We start from the raw sequence: 23,027 nt of genomic DNA, 5'->3' as shown, positions 1-23,027 counted from the left end.
GGTGCCATCATATATCCCTGAGAAATTTTCTTGATGATTTATTTTTAAAGGTAGCATAATAAAAACAGCTGGGGTCTCTAAAAATGATTTATAGTAAACTCTTATAGCCTAGTAGTAAATTCTAACTAATATGTTTTACTCATAATGGATGCCTACAGCTTGTCAACTCTGTGCTAACAGGGGAAACAATATTGTTATTGCTCGTACTGTATAAGCTTCAAACACTTATGTTGTGCTGGATAAGCTCAAACCATGTTGGATGCTTAAAATATTTAATAACTCATATACGCTAATGTTTATTTTACATAATTCCAAAAACTGTTTCTAAAAGCAACAAGGTTCTTATTCTAAAATAGAGTGTAGAATCACATTTTATCGAAGTCAGTTTGTGGCCTCTCGAAGCAGAAATATATGCATAAAATAAACATCTACTAAACAGGAAACTTTGGGGAGGAATTAAAATCTATCACTGCTTTTAAAGAATATTCAGATGTGTATACCCTCCTTTTGAGTATTTCTATTAAATGGTGCTTGGGCAGTAATAAGCCTCATTTACTTATTTAAATGTATTCTCCTTACCCCAACCCCCAAAACACACACACACACACACACACACACACACGCATGCACACACACACACACATGCACACACACACACATAATTGTATGAGTAAATCTGCTATCAGTTCTTTTGTCTCAATTTTCTGAGTTGTCTGGCTTTTTGGGAAGTTAGTTCATTTGGGGGCATGAAAAGGTTAGAAGTGAAATGAAGATGTCCTCACTGACCCACATTCGGCAGGACATGTCCCTTGAGTTGTTTAGAAATTTAGATGGCCTTGCCAGTTCGTTTTTGACCTGTGGCACACATTTCTATAGCAGCTGGTTGCAGTTAGGTTTTCTTCTGTATCCGTGTAGCAGAGAAAACATCATTGGCCCATTTGAGGATGGAACTTCAACCTTGGTCTCATTAGTGCTTGGCTTTAGCCACCTGATACGGGATTACATAGAAGACGGTAAGCAGCAAAAGACAACTAGGAATTTTACAGCCATTGACAAAGAAGACATAGTAGGTATCTAGGACTTTTCTCCCCACTAGAAATGCTTGGGAAGGTTCACATACTTTCTTTGGCAAGCCATCTAAGATATCTCATGTCTAAGGTTACCACTGTATTCAAACAGGCTGCAGGTTTTTTGACTAAAGTCAAGGAAATATTTTTAGTTGGTAAGCAGCCTTGATTCTTTATAAAATACATACATATGGATAAAAATAACACCTTTTAATAGGGTAATATATTTGTATGTAGTCCCTTCATCCTTCAATACATATGTAAAAAGTGAACAGATTTGGTTATTTAGTAGACCTCCTCTCAACTTGGTTTATACCACCAGAAATTGATTGGAAATGTTTAAATATTTTTTTGTTTCTGTTTTTAAATATTACTCTTTCAATATTTTGCTTTTCCCAAACTACCTCCAAATAAGGAGTGCAAATGTAGAAACTGGTTGCTCTTCTTCAAGAGAAAAAAAAGAGAATATGTTTCTAGTGTTTGTAGATGAAAAAGTGGTGTACTGAAGTGTATGTAGGGGGCCTTTTAATTGAAATTAAATTAAAATTAATTGATGAAAGTGTTTTTGGCTTAAACTGAATGAGTCACTGATGTACTTTAAACCCTTGCAATAAATGAAGTATTTGCTGGTAGAAGAGAATCTGGGGCTGACTGGTGACGATTATTCACTGTCTTAATTGTTGGAAATAGATTATTTTCTACCTGCACTGAAGTCACAATGATGGGCAGAATTTCCATGGGAAGTGTTATGCCTAACTGGCATAGTAATTAAAATGTGGGTTTTCTGAATCCTGAATGTAGATTTCACAATTTTCCTGGAATTTAATATAGATCGTCTATAGCCACAGGTAGTAAAGTGTTAAACAGTAAAGGAAAAACAAATAAACATGTTTCCATCTTCCCTAATACATAAATGCACAGGAATGGACTGTATCTTAATCTAGAATCTAGTTTGCTTTCAACCAGTAATAAAAGCAGAGACCACTATATATAGCTTTTGGAATTAAATAGAATATATCATTAGTTTAAGGTATATTTCAGGAAGAAGAACTAACCATTAGAAAACAAACCACAAATGGAATACTAACGCTATGGAGCCTGATTCACCCCTCCTTTCCTGATATGGTTTGACTCTATGTCCCCACCCAAGTCTCATCTCAATGGTAATCCCCACGTGTCAAGAGACAGACCTGTGACTGGATCATGGGGGCTGTTTCCCCCATACTGTTCTCATGATAGTGAGTGAGTTCTCACAAGATCTGATGGTTTTATAAGTGTTTGACAGTTTTTTTCTACATACACTTGCTCTCTTGCCTGGCACCAGGTAAGACAGGACTGCTTCCCTTTCCGCTGTGATTGTAAGTCTCGTGAGGCCTCTCAAGCCATGTGGAACTGTGAGTCATACCTCTTTCCTTTATAAATTTCTCAGTCCCAGGCAGTTCTTCATAGCAGTATGAGAATGGATTAATACCCTTCCTGAGAGATCTTAGTGCAGTTGCACCCTCTCTGCCCCGTGCTCAGGCATAATTCCAAATATTTATTGTTGAGATAATTGAAAATGTAATTGTTGTATGTTCTAACAAATTTGAAATTTTTCCTCAGGATGGAAGATTTGGTAGTATGTTAGCTTTCCATTCTTTCAGATGGTTCATTTGTCATTCATAGAGTATCCTTGTATAAGGACTTGGATTTAATAGACGTGTGAAAGTTTTCAAGGTTGACAATATGCCACAACCTGGAATTTATAGTCTCTGTTGTGGTTATTGATAATACTCAGGCTTACGAAATTCATTTATTTTTTATTATTATTTTTTAATTTTTTGGAGCCAAGGTCTCAATCTGTCGCCCAGACTGGAGTGCAGTGATGTGATCGTAGCTCATTGCAGCCTTGACCTCCTAAGCTCAAGTGACCTTACCACTTCAGCTTCCCAAGTAGCTAGAGCAACAGGTGTGTGCCACGATACCAGGCTAATTTTTAAAAATTTTTTGTAGAGATGGGGTCTCACTGTGTTGCCCAGGCTAGTCTCAAATTCCTGGACCCAAGAGATCCTTCCACCTCAGCCTTGCAAAGTGCTGGGATTATAGGTGTAAGCCACCACACCCAGCCCATTTCTATTTTAATTAGGATCTACTGAGGAAGATTCCACAGAATGTGATGATTTTATAATTGTTAATATTCTTTTTTTTTTATTTTTTTTTTATTTTTTTTTATTTTTAATCTTTTTTTTTTCCTTTTTTTATTATTATTATTATACTTTAAGTTTTAGGGTACATGTGCACATTGTGCAGGTTAGTTACATATGTATACATGTGCCATGCTGGTGCGCTGCACCCACTAACGTGTCATCTAGCATTAGGTATATCTCCCAATGCTATCCCTCCCCCCTCCCCCGACCCCACCACAGTCCCCAGAGTGTGATATTCCCCTTCCTGTGTCCATGTGATCTCATTGTTCAATTCCCACCTATGAGTGAGAATATGCGGTGTTTGGTTTTTTGTTCTTGCGATAGTTTACTGAGAATGATGGTTTCCAATTTCATCCATGTCCCTACAAAGGACATGAACTCATCATTTTTTATGGCTGCATAGTATTCCATGGTGTATATGTGCCACATTTTCTTAATCCAGTCTATCATTGTTGGACATTTGGGTTGGTTCCAAGTCTTTGCTATTGTGAATAATGCCGCAATAAACATACGTGTGCATGTGTCTTTATAGCAGCATGATTTATAGTCATTTGGGTATATACCCAGTAATGGGATGGCTGGGTCAAATGGTATTTCTAGTTCTAGATCCCTGAGGAATCGCCACACTGACTTCCACAATGGTTGAACTAGTTTACAGTCCCACCAACAGTGTAAAAGTGTTCCTATTTCTCCACATCCTCTCCAGCACCTGTTGTTTCCTGACTTTTTAATGATTGCCATTCTAACTGGTGTGAGATGATATCTCATAGTGGTTTTGATTTGCATTTCTCTGATGTCCAGTGATGGTGAGCATTTTTTCATGTGTTTTTTGGCTGCATAAATGTCTTCTTTTGAGAAGTGTCTGTTCATGTCCTTCGCCCACTTTTTGATGGGTTGTTTGTTTTTTTCTTGTAAATTTGTTTGAGTTCATTGTAGATTCTGGATATTAGCCCTTTGTCAGATGAGTAGGTTGCAAAAATTTTCTCCCATGTTGTAGGTTGCCTGTTCACTCTGATGGTAGTTTCTTTTGCTGTGCAGAAGCTCTTTAGTTTAATTAGATCCCATTTGTCAATTTTGGCTTTTGTTGCCATTGCTTTTGGTGTTTTGGACATGAAGTCCTTGCCCACGCCTATGTCCTGAATGGTAATGCCTAGGTTTTCTTCTAGGGTTTTTATGGTTTATTCTTATAATTTGTGAGATACCTATTCATTTCTAAAGATCAAGGTCAAATTAGCCTGTTCCTAAACTTTCTACCTAGAGTTGATTTCCTTGCAAGTAAATGCAATTAACTTGCATAGTGTACTAACCAGCCAGTTGTCAAACTCTAGGCCTGAATCTGACTTTTGGCACCTATCATCCATCCAGATATTGTAAAAATTTTAGCATCTAGTCAAACCCTTGAACTTTGTCAGCTGATACTGTCTATGCCTTGCCTAATAATATTCTCTACTTCTTTTAACAGGCTCACTTAATATATATTACAAAAGAGGAAGGATTTCACATGAATGTCCTACTCTTTTAATATGTGAATATTTTTCTCTTTTTTTCCTCTCCAAACTGCTCCCACCTACTGCACTCTGGTGGCTGAAATTCCTTCTATAGAGTTAAGGCATTTTTGTTCAAAGAGGTCCATGCTAAAATAAAATTACCTGTATTGACATATTTTTGCCTGATTAGTTTATCCAGGTCATTTTCAGATTTCTCATTTGAGAGCTATCTTAAGGGGAAGATAAGTTTTGGTGTTGCTCAGGAGTGGGAGACAAAGGCATGTCTCAAGATTGTGTTCTTGACAATTCTGCTATTAAATCAGAATATTGTGTGAAATTACAGGTGTTACCTACTAAGATAAGTAAGGGGAGAGACATAGAAATAGGGAAAGAGGACTTAAAAAGGAAAAATAGCTCTTCAAAGACCAAAGTTACCTACTTTACTGTTCTTCACAAGCCTGATTCAAACCTCTAGAAGTAACTCAGCTCATTTCTGGTGTTCACTTCAAGGTATATTGCTGCTTTTAAACTTAAACTTTGTCTAATTCTGTGATGAAAAGAAATGAATGAACAACCTCAACTTTCAAGCAGTTTTTTCTCTAAGAGCACTGAAGTCATACTTAAAGCTGTTGAATAAAAAGTGCCATTAATTGAAGTATACGATATATTCAGATATGAGAGGTTTTATTATTCACTGAAAAGTACAATGAATACTATATTCTTTAAAAGTCATTAAAGCACACATATTCTACTTGACTGCTGTATTTATATAAGCATTGCTAGCATTTGCCCTTTTTATGTCTTCTTCAATTTTTTTCTCCTACTCTTCCTCCTCTTTATCTTTCTTACTGTTTATCCATGCCTTCTTCAGCTATCCTCAACATCACTAAGCTAAGGGAATATATAATCTTATGAGATGTACTATTAAGTGGTACCATTTGAGAGTGTGTCTCTCCCTCTGTCCTGTAATGTGCCTGAAATTCTCAGAATTTTGGTTATGGTTTGTGATTAGGGCACTAGCCCCAAAACATCATAAAAATCATAATGCAAATGTCCAAAGCAAGTACACTCACATTTATTCCTTAGAAAGCAGAGAGAAGATTAAATGATCCATTTTTTAAGACTTGTGTAACCTAGCATGTTAGAGTTAGAAAGGATCTTTGAGGTCATGAACAGTTTTTAATTAAAGTTGGCTTGTTTTATTTCCTTTTCATTTGTGTCAGTCCTTTCTTTAGATGATATTTAAAGATAATGAAAGTTCAATGAGGAAAATAGATGAATTAGGAGAACATTAGGACTCACCTCTGCTCGTTACTGGTTCTGTGGAAGCTTAGGGGTTCTGTGCAGTGAAAAATTGAGCTCATAGTTCTGGAGCCTTTTTTTGTGGAGAAAGTGTGACCAGAAGTTCAATATTCTGATTCCCAATCCAGGGATCTTTGTATCCATTGGATTGCTCCCTATAATTACCTTTTTGTGTGAATGCCTTATCTGAATTTCTACTACTTTGTAGACATATTTTTGTTAACATGCCTACACAACAATACTATGGATGTTCTAAATAGTGAAATGACAACCATAGAAAAATAATCCAAATGGGAAGAGGGAAAAGTGATTCTGAAATAGAACCGTCTCTGGCAAGACATACAATTTCTAAGAGAACCTTTGAAATATAGCTGAGTATGAAAATTGGGTAGGGATGTCGCATTATTGGTAATTCTTATTGTTTTAATGATTCCCCAATTGACATTAAAACAATAGACAAGTTAAGTGATCTTTAATAGAAAAGAGAATGAGTTGTAGATCAGGTTCTTCCAACTCCAGAAGATTACTTTCTGAAAACAAATAGCAATATCTGGTGAAAACAAGTTTACTGAGGTCATGAGCCTAAATTTTATTGCAAAGGTCGAAAAGATGAATAGTATCAATTTTTTTTTCCTTCAGCTCAGACTTTTAACATCAGAGGAAAGGATGTTATATATTGCAAAATAGATGTAATCACTGAATCCAAAGAGAAATGTTATTGTGCACTGAAACACTGGATCCAAATGGAATCTAATTAATCAAAGTATGTTTTGCTAATTAGGAGGACAGTTGATGATATAACATACATCTAGTGATGTTTTAAAATATCATAACTGATGAGAGTTGCCCATATTAAGCATTTGAATGGGTTTTTGAAATAGATGGAGTTTTTCAATTTCCCAGTTTGTAGAAACTGCAATCTTAGTTTTAGAGATGTGTTAATTATGAGGCAGAAAAATAAATATCATATAATGACATTTTATGGTCCAAACTTCCATAGAGTTTCAGTTATTTGATTTTTGTTGTCCTAAGTTTCTACAGCTTTTCCTTCAGAAAATGTTCTATTTCTGGATGATATGCAGACAGGTAAATATCCAGGTTTTGTGGGGACCTGAGGTTTATGCACTTTGGGGGCCCCTCTTTTTAAACAGAATACAAGATCGCAAATGCAAAATTAGGAATGAATGTGAATATTTAGGAGGGGCCTATGCAAGGGAGGTGCCCTGAGGTTTAAGCTTTACGGTAAATCCACTCCTGCATGCAGCACATACTAGTAAATAATTTAATAGTTGATCAGTGAAGAAGAGAGAAATTTTTCAAAAACTACAACCCTTTGATTTTGGAAGTCTTTTGATATGTTAATAACATTCAAAAATACAAATGAAAAAATTGTAATCAGTTGGTCAAAGACAGAATTATAATGCACAGTTTGATAAGATGAGATCTAAATTAGATCAATTAAACTTTGATAGTGCAGTGACAATCTGGTATTTCTTTATGTAATGCATCTTGAGAAATGTAGTTACAATTATTTTAAATCACTGATAGTACATTTTATACCAGTTAAATGGGAATTACCAAGAAATACATTCAATCTGATCAAGGTTAATAAGAAAAGGCTCAGTGTTTTCAGAGAATACCCTTTTGAACAGACGGTCTTCTGTAACATGTGAAAAGAAAACTAGGATCAAAGTAATGATTTAGTTTTAATTTGTGACATAAACTGCAATTTAATCTAAAATCACTATACTTTTAGGCATCTGATTCTGTTTTCTGGGTTGGTCACTAAATAACAGCATCCAGTTATCTTCAGTTGCAATAAGAACCTTTGTGCACACACTTTTTATCTATTAGGTTCAGGTTTACCTATGTCTTTTTTTTAATTCATTAGAAGCTTAATTAAAGATATATCTGTATCATTACTAGCAAGACAATTAGAATATATACTAACTAATGGTGGCTGAACAAAATTGACTCATGCTTTGGGGGCCACCTGTAGAGATTAGGGAAGCATTTGACTCCCCTGGTGGTTCCATTTGATGTATACCACAGATACTTGCTAATGAGTAGTTCCTCCTTTGTCGTGCACTGGTGTCTGAAAATTCCCACCATTTGGGTTATGGTTTATTTTTAAAACGCTAACTGAAAAACACAAATCATCGTAAAAATTAAACCTGCGGGAAGACAAAAACCTTATCTGATATTGATTTGTGCCAAATATAAAACTGATAAGAGCTTGGCTATAAATCCAGCTAAAGGTGTACAGTCAAGAGCAAGATAATGGGTGCTATTTGGATGTATTCATAGGTAAACAACTAGAATTTAAAGATAGAGATGTGATAAATTAGCTCATTGGGAAAGAGTAGAACCTTGGTTATACTTCTTCCTGACTTGATTATTAGTTAACTGTGTGACTTTCAGAAAGTCGCTTGAATTCTATGAGTTGTCCCTTTCTGTATACATGAAGAAGTCAGTCCCTTTCAGTGGCAGAAGTCTATTTATTTAAATACATGTTGGGCATCAAATATTCTTTAAGCCTAGTCTTTTGGAATATTAAACAATAGTTCTTTAAACTTAAGTCTGTAAGCCAATTGCCACTGGCGGTCCTAGCAGTCAGCATTTGCTGATGTACTACTAAATTCATATTCACTTCCTTTTTTTCCAATATTCACTTTTGGTATAAAGGTCTAGGTCAATTATAGTTGTTTTGTGAGATGAAAAATAAATTGAAAAATGACAGATTTATAGGCCAACTTACAATTTTAATTTGAAAATTGCCTACTGTAGACATAGGCATGTCATATTCAAAACAGATTTGAGTGTCCATTAGACCATAGTGTCTATTAAATCTACTCCTGTTCGGTCCTCAGAGAAAATTATAGTAAAAGTCATAGCTTACATAGAGGATTATGCCGTGTGTCTATAGTAGCTTTCATAACCAATAAGGTGGTTTTATAAAGCAAAATATATATAGCACTGTTTCGAGTGCTTTAATATATTAGCTAATTTGATCTTTAGACTATATCAATGAGGTTTGGCATTATTATTATTCCTATTTTTCAGATGATGAAATTGAGACACAGACAGGCTAAGTAACCTGACCGACGTCACAGAACTCAAAGTAGCAGATGGGAGAGTTGGTGTCACTCTCCAGAGTCATACTGAATAGAGTAGGTATGGTAAGGAAAACAAAACAAAAAAAAGGCTAAACTGTGAAAGGGCAAGAAACATCTCTACAAGTAGCTGAGCAAAGCTATCTCACACCTAGAAAAATATATCCTAAAACATATATAGTGATGAGAAGCTACTTATAGCAATGATCTACTGGAGTGCCTGGAATGAGATAAAGAGAAAATGTGAGACAAGCAGGGCTAAGTAAATGTGAAAAACAGGACTGTGAGGCTCTGTTATTTTACTGACAGTCTTGCTGCCTTGGAATAATGATTACAGCCTTTGCAGAAGTCACCTGTGAATGTGGAGTTCCATATGCAGATGTGAAACAGATAAAGTTCTTTCCCACTTGATTCTGTTGACATGGCATGTGGAAAACAAGGCACCATATGACAAAAGCCTAGGAAAACTAGGGAAGTGTGGTGCACGGTACTGAGAGCATTCCAAGAGCCTAGAGAGACTAATTTATGAGGAAAGATTAAAAGGATTAATTGTATACAACTTGGCTAAGTAATGCCTAATGAGGAACATGAGAACTGTCTGTAAGTATTTGAAGAACAAATATGCCAGGGAGAGAAGGGATTTACCTAGTGGGACACAAATAGATGAAACTGGAAACATTGGTTGTAATTTCGGACAGGATCGTTTTGGCACAATAGCTTATAAAACTTGTTGACAGTTCATATCTATTATACCGTAAAATAGTTTCAGAAAATAAAACAAAACAAGGGCCCAGTATGGCCTTTAAGAATATCAGCAGGGTGAACGGGAAGGTACAGTGATGTATATTGAGTAGATAAAGTATAGGTTAAATATTCTGGTTCTAGAGTGTAATATCCCTTACAGTTATTAAGGTCTCTGCCCATCCTGCCCCATAACAATGTTATAGTGCAAGTTAAGGTTATTATGTTTTGCATCTTACTACCCCGTGGTATGTTGAGTAGTTCTGTGTCTGGTTCTCTGGATAGATGTTGCTACAGGAAAATAGAGGGCACCAATGAGAATCAAAACCTGTTCTCCAGATGGGGGAAGCATTATTTCAAGCAGAGACCAGATGCTGGAACCCAGGAGATTAGAGATTGCAAATTAGGGATTTTATTTAACATAGTAGGTGTTCACTTATTATCTATAGGATGAATAAAGGAATAAAGGAACGAATAAATGAATCTCATTGAATCAAAATATCCTCATCTGTAAAATATAGTTAGCAAAAATACATATCCATAACTAAATATTTTAAATTAACTAATGTATGTGAAGCCCCACAAAAGGTATATGTTCAATAAATGGTAGCTATTATTATGTGTTGCTCATTGGACTAGCACAGAATGATGTTTAAGCTCTTCCTTTGACTACTTCCTGCCTTTGCACCCTTGATTATGCCTACTTCATCAGGAAGGTGTTGACTGGAATCATAATACTTAAACTCTTTGGGAGAAGTCAAGAGTCCAGAGTGAGCCACTACTGAAGCAGTCACTTTTGTATTCAAATTAAGTCATTTTGCACACAGTGGAAGCCTGATGGTACCGCTGAAAAGAAAAATAAATTAGCATGCTTCACAGCATTGATCTGGTAGAAGAAGTAAAGACTATTTTATGTCATAGGTTGCCAAAGAGGTTTCCTATCTTTTTAATTCTCTGTAAGTAGAAATCACCCATGTTAGTAAAGCATCAAGTCCCAGTTGGCCTTTGCAATATTCTTATAGATGATCCAAGTTTTGGTGGGTATTACAATGCATCTGAATACAAATAGATTTTGCCTTAAACTCTGCCCAACACTATTAAAGCCAAACTCTACACAGTCTTTGTCTTTATGTCTCCCCTTTACAATTCTTGGTACATTTTGACACTTTAACTCACAAGCATTTCAAACGTAAGTGTGTTGTTAATTCTCGGCTGTTAAAAATCAACACAAATACGTTGCAAAGCCACGATGCTTTATTTAGGGTGAAAAATAATTCTTTTAAAAGATACAGTGCTTGAGCTTTCAACAAATACTTCCTTAAAATGAATATAACAAAAGCAACAACAGGCATAAATTACATTCAAAGAGAAATCAGGTAGAAATAGAAAATTTTGACGAAGTGCCAACTGCCACATAATGTTGCAATGACTTAAAGAATACATTTACATTTATTTAGGGAAGATTAAAGGCATCTCTGTTTGTGAAATGTCAATTAATAAGGACCTGCAGTTTTTGTTAGTGAGAGCGTGCATTTTAATTGCTTCTGTGGAATTTTAATAATGATTCAATTGTCCTTATAACCAGATTACTAACCCTCAGTCTCCAGAGTAGCCTGAGAGATAACACATAGCAGAGTTCCCATAATATTTTTTATCAGCTTGTTGAGAGTGACATGCTATTGTTTCTGATGGAGCATCACAATAGGACAGCACACCTTCTCCATTCACAAGGGATAGGCCCTGAGACCTTTTTGACTCCCCACAGCCTCAAATATCACTCTAGCATATAATTTCCCTCATAAAAGGCAGTAAAGTATAACTGAAAAATTTAACAGACCCTTTTCAGACCATTAATGGTTCTATAAATACAAGACTAAAGTCATTTACAAAGCCATTTTCTGGCTAAGAACTAGCACTTCCTTTTCACTGCTAGCATTATCACTAGCAGTTGTGTTTTTCTTTTCAGGGCCATTTTTTCACATAGAATTAAAGTTAATTGTCATCACTTCAGTAGAGTTGCTGCATATACCCCCAACAAGTATAGAAGAGCAGAGTTTTGGATGTTGGGCAGTTGGCCAACTCACTCACTAGTTATATTCAACACCAAAGATCCAAATTTAGGTGTCAGCAACATTACACGTAACTACAGGTCATGGACTCATGGAGTCACTTCCTGAATAGTCAAAATTGCAAATGTTAAATCCATAAATTCCAATGATCTGCTGTATTTACTAGCTTAATAAGCTTGGCAGTTGCTTTTCTCTGGTTGTTATAGCAGAGTATCAACTGCATTTGAGTCATAATGGACTCTTGGTGCTCTTATCAACTCTACAAAAAATCTGGGAAATACATTTAAAATTATAGGACTTGAAGACCAGCACTGGCCTTTATGCTATCCATACTCACTTCCCGATACTTCCAAATATAGGTATACCATTTCTAGTAAATTCCATTTATTTTACTATTAAGAAATCAGAGAGCATTCTATTTATCTGGAAAATAGAAGCCAAATAGCAGTATGTATAAGCATTAACCACCTCCTATATCCAAACACTGTGCTTGTCACTATAGTGAATGAAAATATTTAAAACTTCCATTTGTTAGTTATTTAGTATATTTTGGGCATTGAGTAATCACTTTACATGCATTATATCATTACATCTAATGGTGGGCCTATAAGAAATTCTCCTTGCCCGTAAACAGGCTATAGTCTATTTGAAGTGATGTCATAAAGGTTAGATTTAGTTGGTTCCCTAGGATGGCCTGAGAGGCATAGGAGGTTTTACCCAAAAATGTACTAGACATCCAATATCTAGTTTTCTGAGTCAACTGCATTTTCCTTTTTCCACAAAGTGAATTAGAATTTCTATTAATTCTGGTTTCTGGTGGATATCTCTGAAGTTAACATTTGTATATTTAATTTTTAAGGATTGATAAATGTATCAAAACTAAGATGTGAGTGAAAATTTAATCTTCTTTAGATCAATCTACTTTTTGTGATTTTTATTCAAAAGCATTATATTGCATGTAACAGGATCTTTCTTGTCTGTTAGAGAAGATCCTACATCCCTGTTGGACTGTTGTTAGTTTGCGAGTTTGCTGTAAGCCTCCCAGTGATCTTTGATCAAAATTTTTATTATTTCCCCTGGTACTTAAAGGCACAGGTCCCAAACTTGTACCTTTATAGCAAGGTAACTTACTGAGCAAGAATTTGTCGGGCAGTGGAGATTAATGCTAACTTTTGCAAATGGCAATTTTTGGTCCCCACTTCCTCTGGTATATAGTTAATTAAGAGCAGTGTAACATAGAAAATTCTGCAAAACCAAACAGATTGCTCAAGTCTAGCATCTTGGATGGTATGTAGATTTGTTGCTTTTCCTGAATGAGTATTCCTGTCTGTGAAGCAACAATGGTAGTCTCCTGAGTAATACATTGCCTAGGGAGTCAAGAGCTCTTGCTTCTAGTCCAGGCCTTGACACAGACTCTGAGACTTCTGGCAAGTTGCTTTATTTCTCTGGGCCATGGTTTCTACAGCTATAAAATGGGATGATGCTGTCTGTCTCACAGTGTTGTTGTAAGGGCAAATGCAAAAAGGTTATGTTGCCTTAGAAGAAAGGCAAAATAGACATCCAAAGTGGTATTCTTAGATAAGCATGTATGTATTTTTCTGTTGTTTACATGTGTAATAAAAATATGTCATGTTATTTTATTTAACTGTTGCAGCCCAAAAAGAGGTACAGATGAATAACATTTGGTTATAAACAAAAAAATGAATATTGTGTAGATGAGCAAAGTAAATTTTTCTTCTGCCATGTATGCAAGTTGTGATTGTTGCAGTCAGGAAGAGGATGTGGAAAAAAAAAAAAGCAAATCTGCAGCTATTCAGCTCCCATCTGTATACGGTAAAATGTTCCATATCAAAACGGTAAAATGTTCCATAGCAAACTCATGGTTCAAAAGAAGGAACTGTAGCTTCTCACACTTTGCCAACCCTTTGTCCTTCCCTTCCTCCTGCTACTTACTGTAAGAGGCTGCTTTTTCTACTCTCAACTTCACAGTCACCCCTCAAGAGGTTTAGCAGGCTGTATCGTCACAGCTTTGTCTTCTTTATCAATTTCAAAATACAATGAGGATAACATGATTATCTGTAGAACTGTTTCTCTACATAGTACTCATTGAGTTTTTGGGGTTTTTTTCATATGGGTCAAGTCAGTAAGTCTTTACCTAGTATCTGTCATGTGTCCAGCCTAGTACAAGACACCATGAGGAATTCATGGAAAATAACCAACACAGTCCTGACACAAAATAGTTTACATGTTGAGATAAAACATTTTCATATATGATACTCATCTCATCTTCCTTTTGAACTCAAAACTTACATCTTTGAGACTGTGAGCCATGTCTAATTCATCTTGGGGTCTTCCACACTCACACTTTGAGATGGAGAATTCTTCATATTATGGGAGTGGCCCACCCCATTGTGTTATCGTTATTATCTTTTTCCCCTATACAATAAATGTCAGTAGCATCTCCCAGTCACTGTAACAACCGAAGTTACCTCCACACCTTTCCAAATTTGGGATAAGTGCTCCCTCAATTGAGAGTCACTGTTTTACAGCATCATGGATGTCAGTTTGCACATGATAGACAACCCTCCATCAATATTTTCTGAAAGAATGAATTCATGCAACATGACAATGGGAGAATAATTAAGCAGAGCAAAAATCACATGCAAGAATCCTTGGGACAGAATACTAGTACATTAGGGCTCTGGGACGTGAGGCTGTGTTGTGCTGGGCTGTATAATTTATTGTATTGGGATGTGCTTAAAGGATAAATAGGTTTACCAAAGTAAATGGGAGAGTGGCAGCCCCTGTAAATAAGGGCAGCAAAATTAAATAATAAAACACTGTTTGGAGGAAACCTTGCTGACTGGTTTGGAAAACTGTCTGGGGGATAGTACAAGGGATGTTTGAATAGGTAGTAGTAAGCAAGACTGTAGACAGCTGAACTTGATCCTATAATCAACAGTTTACTTCCAAAGGCTTTTGTATAAGGTTATAACATCATGGAAGTCTTAAGACGAATTTGGCTATTGAATATAAGATGAATTTGGCTGGACACGGTGGCTCACTCCTGTAATCCCAGCACTTTTGGAGGCCGAGGCGGATGGATCACCTAAGGTCAGGAGTTCAAGACCAGCCTGACCAACATAGTAAAACCCCGTCTCTACTAAAAATACAAAAATTAGCCGGGTGTGGTGGCTCATGCCTGTATTCCCAGCTACTCAGAAGGCTGAGATAGGAGAATAGCTTGAACTCAGGAGGCAGAGGTTGCAGTGAGCTGAGGTCGCACCATTGCACTCCAGCCTGGGCAACAAGAGCAAAACTTCGTCTCAAAAAAAAAAAAATGATTTAAAAAGGAACATACTGGAGACTGGTGACTAGTTAGGAAGTTGTTACCATAATCTAGCTGGAAAATAATACTCTGTCTTGCTCACTCTACCACCCCGCCTCCCACCATCTCAATCTCTTGTTTGTTCTCTCATCCACATATTTTCTTTTATTGTTTCTTCATCTCTTTTAGGTAGTGGAATATTTTTTGATACCTAAACTCATTAATGTTTTCTTTCACTTCTCCTTGCCCTTCTAGTACCAATGGAACACATTCTATTACTTTTATAATTTTTAAAAATCTGCTTAGTTTTGTCTTCTAACCCTTAGTTCACAGTTTAAAATTTTTGAAGTACTAGAAGTTGGAAAGTAAAATGAACTCAGAAATTAATGTGATCTGCTCCTAGGAGAAGTAGGAAAATAAGAAGAAACACTTAATTCTAAAGATAGAGGTTCTGAATCATGAATGGATGAAGTTCACAGAGGAGCAATGCCATCTCGTTTCTGAAAACAACCTGATGATGAATTAGGCTATATTAACTCAATATAATCTGACCTAAAAGAATTCTTTGTAAATACCTAGGTGATGAGATGATCTCTGCAGCAAACCACCATGGCACACATTTACCTATGTAACGAATCTGCACATCTGCACATGTACCCTATAACTTAAAATACAAATGAAAATTAAAAAAGAATTCTTTGTAGATTATTTTATTCAGTTACCAATCTTTTACATTTCAGTTGAGGGGACTTAGAAGAGGGAAAGATGTATGTCCTTACTTCTCAGATCAATTGCCATTTACTTAAGATAACCAGAAAAGAAACAATATAATTAATATAGCAATATAAATGGCAACAACTCCTTAATTTATATTAATTTATAATAAGATTCAAATTATAAAAAAGAATGAAATTATATCCTTTGCAGCAAAGGAGGCCATTATCCCAGGTGAATTAATGGAGGAACAGAAAACCAAGTACCACATCTTCTCACTTATAAGTGGAGCTAAACATCAGATACTCAGGGACATAAAGATGAGAACAATGGACACTGGGGACTACTTAGAGTGGGGAGGGAGGAGGGGAAGAGTTAAAAAACTGTTAGCTGCTCTGCCCAGTACCTGGATAGCAGGATCAGTCATACCCCAAACCTCAGCTTTATGCAATATACCTAGGTAACAAACCAGCACATGTACCTGCTGAATCTAAAATAAAAGTAGAAAAAGAAAAAAATTAAAATTAATATACTAATGCAAGATTTCTAGGTTGGTTATTTAAACGTTTATAGGAATATATATCCAAAACATATTTTATTCAGGCATCCATTTATATACAATCAATATATTAGATTCTAATTATTCTTATCTACTCATTAAGTGTCCTAAGGGACCACTACTAGTAACACTTAACAGCAAGAAACATTGTGAATTAAACTAATGCAACTGTTGCATTAATTAAACTATTTTAACATTTAGACATTTTGTTTTTAATAATTCACATTTTTTTCACACTACTAAAATGTTATTCTCTATATAATATGTGTTAACAGATAACATTAAGCAGAAAAACTGTTAGACTATTTAGGTAAAGATAAGTAAACTTTTCACATCTGTCATACACAGTTTGAAAAAGCATTCTGGGGAAAAGAAGGGATAAGCTTGAACATTTTTCATGAACATGTAGTTAACAAACTATAGAATATAAAATCCTGAATGATATAGAAAGCCATTTTGGTAGTTTACACCTAGAAAAAAATGTAATGTCTTTTTGTCTTGGCAGTTAAATTCATTTTGATATATTTTTGAGCTGATTGTTTTTGGTAGGCCAACTAAAGAACAGAGTAAACAAATTTATGGAGCACAGAAAACAATGTGGTAAAGAATGAGAGATGTATTTTCCCATGAAAGTCCATTTGAGACTCATGGGTTCCTAAACGCCGACCTTCTTCGGATGTTTTAGGATTTAAGTTTGAGAATGTCTAGCCAATTGCGATTCTGTGCTTTGAAGGAAGTAATAAGACTTCATACTGCCTGTGAACTCTCAAAACATTAATTTGATTAACCAATTGATATGCCACATAAATATATTTAAAATGCCTTAAAATACACATTAGCTAAAAAGTAACAGATAAACAGATATACTGTAGATGGTCACTTACCAACTTCAATCACTTTGAAAATACAAATGACACAGATCTAATTTGCAGGCAAATCTCTTTCTTTTAGTTGTGCCGGTAAATAGGTTAGGATTATGATCTTCAATCCTGTTCCAAATATCTACCATATCCAAAGTTTCCCTACTTGGTAGCTTTGGTCCTAAATTGTGATCAGTGCCCTACCCTGGTGAACTGGATTGGGCCACGTGTCAACTGCCAGAAGGCTTTTTGCATAGGCCATAGGCAGGCTACAGCTATATACACAACCGCCAGTCTCCTCTTGGCCTTCTAAATGATGCCTGTGGTGAACTTTGGCCTGTGTTTCCTATGGGGAGACTACTGGTTCTCTGTACTGTACTGGCTGTGTGCATTCCAGGAAATAAAAATAGCAGGGCAGTGTATAATATAGTTTTGAGGTTTACTAAGTAATACTTCGCACAGGAGAAATAATATGGATTTTGTAATCTGACCAACCTAAATTGGAAACCCAAATTTGACAAATATGAGCTGTGTTGTGTGACCTCAGGCACATTGCTGCACCACTTTGAGTCTCGGTTTCCCGCCTGTAAAATGGCCAAAAGTATGCCTACAACCCTGCTAGGATGTTTTGCTTTTAAAGTGCTACAAGAGATGCGAAGAGATGGGATATCTTCCTCTGGAGATTGGAAAGAGTTGATGTAATACAGACCTGGTTCCAAGATAGGGAAATTTGGCAGCTCTTGTTGAGATGTAGCCTGAGGATAAATTAGAACTATTCTAAACAAGTGGTTTTTAAATAAATTTAAGGAAAATCAAATAGGACATAGATCAGGATATAAGTAAGACTTCAATGGACTTGAGCCAGAGAGCTCTCCAGAAGAAGAGTGAAAGAACTTCCTGTAAGGTCAGTGTCAGCCATCCTCAAGGCCAACCCAAGCCAACTGCCATCACTACTCAATGTGCATTTTTAATGCTATGCTAGTTCCTAAACTGAAGAAAAATTTCAGTAACATTGAATGAAATATTTTCTGTGTTCCTCTAAATATTATTTTTATTAATGATGAAATATGTCAAATGCACAGGATTTCACATAGCAAATTCTCGCATACCTATCATTCTTTCACTAAGTTATGTCAAATCTAGCATGTTACCTTTTCTTTAAATCTATTTTCAAGAATAAAACGTTACAGACAAAGCTGAAACTTCTTATGTCCCCCCCATGCCATTCTTCCCTCTTTCACCCTAGATGTAAGCAATATCCTGAATTTGATATTTTTCTTTGTTTTTTATTGGTTGCAGACTTTTAATAAGTTAACTATTATTCCTGTTTTCATTGTGAACATTTCTGATATATGAATATTTTTTTTAACTTTTATTGTAAGTTCAAAGGTGCATGTGCAGGTTTGTTACATAGGTAAAGTTGTGTCATTGGGGTTTGTTGTACAAATTATTTCATCACCCAAATATTAAGCCCAGTACCCATTATTTTTCTTGATCCTCTTCCTTCTTCCACCCTCCACTCTCTGATAGGCCCCAGTGTATGTTGTTCCCCTCTATATGTCCATGTGTTCTCATCATTTAACTCCCACTTATAAGAAAGAACATGTAGTTTTTGGTTTTCTGTTCCTGCATTAGTTTGCGAAGGATAATTTTCATTTCTATGTATGTTTTACTGTTTTTACAGCATCCATATAGGTTTTCATTAAACACATATTCTTCTTCAATGTTCTTTTGTCTCTTAACTTTATTTCTGTGATTTAACTATGCTAATGGGAGGCTCTATTTCATTCTGTTAATATATAAAATGAATCTATTGGATGAAAATACAAATCTTCCATTATTGGTGGATATTTAGACTTTTCCCAGAATTTAATTTTACAAACAGTGCAGCAGTAAATATTCTTATGAGTATTTGTGTGTGAGAGAGAGTTTTTTAAAGTATACATCTAGAAGTGGAATTTCTGGGTCGAAGAGCATGAATATCCTCAACTTTACTAGGTATTACCAAATTGTTTTTCAAGGCACACAAAATTAGACTTCTACTAGCAGTATGTGAAATTCCTAATTCTCTATATCCGTATCGACATTTAGTGTGGTTAAATTTTTGCCAGTCTGCACAATGCTATAGGTCCACACTGATTTAATTTATATTCCACTGATTGCTTGTGAGGTAAAGTACTTTTTCACATGTCTATCGTCAATTCAGATTTTCTTGTCTGAGAATTCCCTGTCCATATAATGTATTTATTTTGCTACTTTTTAGTCATAAGAGTCTTCTTAAAAATAATCTTTGCCACCTGTAGTTCCAGCTACTCAGGAAGCTGAGGCAGGAGAATCACTTGAACCCGGGAAGCGGAGGTTGCAGTGAGCCGAGATCGCACCACTGCACTCCAGCCTGGCGCCAGAGCGAGACTCCGTCTCAAAAAAAAAAAAAAAAAAAAAGAAAAAGAAAAAGAAATCTTTGTCAGTTATGGTTATGATCCTCATAATTATCTTCTCCAAACTTTTGACTTGGGCTTTCAGTTTGTTTCTTATGCCTTTGGCATTGCATCAAATTTACAGATTAATTTGAATACAATTCATATTTTCATGAAGTTCAGTCTTCTAATTCATGAACATACTTTATCTCTCCTTTCGTTCAAATCTTTAATGTCCTTCAATAACTTTTGCTCACTCCATAAAGGTTTCTTGCAGCTTTTACTAGATTTATTAGGTTCTGTTTCAGCCTTCGTTAATACTGTAAATGGAACCTTGCTTTTTTTTTCTTATTGAATTCTCTAATTTGTTATTACTCATATAGAAGTTTGTTATTGGTTTTAGTACATTGATTTTCTTTCCAGAAACCTTGCTAAACATTTTGTTAGTTCAAATAATTTGTACTCACTTGGATTTTTCTGTGTAGACAGTTATATCCTTTGCAAATAGTGACAGTTTTGTCTAATGCTTTCCATTTTATATCTGATTTGTTTTCCTTGTTTTATTGCATTGTCTTGGACCTTCATTAAAATCTTAAATAGAAATGATGAAAGTGGGTGTTTTTGTCTTGATTTTAATGGGAAGACTTCCAAAATTACACCATTGATTATTATGTTTACTGCAGGTTTTTAATAGATACCCTTTAAGAAGTTGAGGGACTACTGCTATATTTCCAATTTGCTATGTTTTCTAAAAAAGGTTTTTAAGTGTGATGAATTTACTTCATCACATTTAAATGAACTTCACTGAAGTTGATTTTTGTTAAATGCTATTTCTTCATCCATTCAAATGACATATGTTTTCGCTTTTGTTATTTTGTTAATTAAGTTAATTACATTAATTAATTTATTTAATTTTGAAGCAGCCTTTCATTTTTTGGATAAACTCAACTTGGCCTGGATGTATTATATTTTTTACACATTGCTGGATATGGTTCAGTAATTTCTTTTAAGGATTTTTGCATAAAATTAGTCTGTAATTATCCTTTTCCAAATTGCCCTTGTCAGATTTTTGTATCGTAGTTACACAAGCCTCAGTGAATGAGCGGATAGCTTTCCTTCTTTTTTAGCCTCTGAAATAGTTTATATAGACAGGGGTTTATTTCTCAAAAATCTGATAAATGTTGCATTTAAAATTGTCTGAGCTGGTGAGTGGGAGACTTTTGATTATACATTTCATTTGTTTAATGGCAATTGTTTATTTTTCATTCTTTAATTTTTTCCTTGGAGTATGTTAGTGATTTATATTTCTCTAGAAAATTATTCCTTTTATCTAGTTTTTCAAATGCATTTGCATGCTATTGTTTATGGTCTTATTTTATGATTTTATCATTTTTGTTGTATCTTTATTTTCTCTTGAGTATTAGGGTTTTTTTTTTCCTTTGCCTTTTCTCCTTCTTTATTTATTGGTTTTACTGGAGGATTGTTTATTTTACAAGCATTTTAAATAAACCAGATTTTTGTTTTATTTTTGCTGGTTGTGCTTTCTTTTTTCTATTGCACTAGTTTCTGTACTTATTTTTTACTTTTTCCTTTTCTTTTATTCACATTTAGTCTGATGTTATTTTTTCCAACTTTTTGAGATAAATATTTAACTCACTTATCTTTCCATCTTTAATGAATAAAGGCATTTAGTGTTATACATTTCCCTCATTGTATACCTTTAGGCATATCCCACAAATGTTGGTATGTAGTACTTTTGCAACCTTTACATTCTAATTTTTTTTAAATTCCCATTGCAATTTAATTGTTAACTTATCAGGTATTTAGCGGTGCTTTAAAAGTTATTATACAAGGGGTTTGGGACTATCATTTTAGTGTTGATTTCTTAGTGCTCATAATTGTGTTTTAGGTCTCTTACCAAGAGCTTATGCCTGGTTCTCTTTTCTTCCCCGGTCACTAATTTCTTACAAATCTGTAACCTTTTTTCAGAAGGCCCAACATCAGGACTTTGTATTATTCACCTTGCCTGCTTCCCAGCACTTTTATCATGGACACACCTCTGGAGCTGACGTGGGTAACACCGCATGCTTCTGAACTCAGAACCCAGCATGCCATTTGCTTCACTGCTTCAGCTGCTTCAGACTCTTTTCTGTTTCTATTCTAAAAAGATGTTAAATCTTGTCTTTGAACCGAGCTATATTTTTTGCTCTTCTCCTTTTATACACTATCTTTCATTTCTTTGTATTTAGAGTAGAAGAATGAGTTAATTTGAATTTCTGTGTCTCATAGTTTTAAAACATGTACTTCTCTGTGAAGAGGAAGAACTGGAGTAGCACCCTCACTTCCCAGCCAAACCGCACCCCCACCCCAGAAAAACACAATAGTATGTATACATACATGGTCTCAATTAATCCTTTATTTTGACTACACACCCTCTTTATGCAATATTGAAAATTCCTCTTTGTTTTATGGTCACACAGTATAATACTTACAGGAACATTGCCCTCTGTTTTTGGACCCTTCAGAGGTGATTATTCCCAAAGAAAATGAATACTACTTTTGCCTTGTATTCGATATTTTCAATATTACTTTTTAAAATTTCAATTTTCCAGTATAAAACTGAAGGTCACACTGCCTGTTGATAACTAGCTTGTTCAAGTAACAGTGAACCATAAGGCCAACAGAATTGATTGGAAATTGGCGGCCTCTCTGCATTCTAAGCACTTATCCAGAGATTTAGTGAGAGCTAATCACTTCACTGAAAAAACAGATAAAAATATAAAGATCCGCTTTACATTCAGTAAAGCATATTGATAGTAATTAGATGAGAATAATAAAGCTAACTAACTGCATTATTCTAAGCATATCTTATTTTATTTTATTTTTAAAGATTTGGGAGGTCTAAATACAGTTCTGTTACATGGATAATATTGTTTAATGGTAAAGTCTGGGATTTTAGTGTACACATCACCTGAATAGTGTACACTGTACCCAATAGGTAGTATTTGATGCCTTATCCCCTTCCCACTATCCCACATTTTGGAGTCTCCAGCCTTTATTATTCCACAGTGTATGTCCATGTGTATTCATTGTTTAGTTCCCACTTATAAGTGAGAATGTGTGGTTTTTGACTTTCTGTTTCTGAATAATTTCACTTAAGATAATGGCATCCAGTTCCGTCCAT

At 35.2% G+C, this 23,027-nt stretch overlaps 1 protein-coding gene across 11 annotated transcripts in view; it reads left to right on the top strand.

Moving 5' to 3' along the window:
* Positions 1-23,027, top strand: part of TENM1 (teneurin transmembrane protein 1) — an 828,410-nt gene that overhangs the window by 156,833 nt on the left and 648,550 nt on the right. For 2 of the 11 annotated variants that reach the window (XM_017029211.3, XM_047441759.1), the window contains one exon: positions 21,833-21,913. The exons of the other annotated variants lie outside the window; for them this stretch is intronic. The gene's annotated coding sequence lies outside the window, so the exon portion shown is untranslated. The remainder of the gene's footprint in view (positions 1-21,832; positions 21,914-23,027) is intronic. 11 annotated transcript variants of the gene reach the window in all.

Source organism: Homo sapiens, chromosome X (assembly GCF_000001405.40).
Source record: "Homo sapiens chromosome X, GRCh38.p14 Primary Assembly".
In the NCBI taxonomy this organism is placed as follows: Eukaryota; Metazoa; Chordata; class Mammalia; order Primates; family Hominidae; genus Homo; species Homo sapiens.
This window is presented reverse-complemented; position numbering and strand designations above follow the sequence as displayed.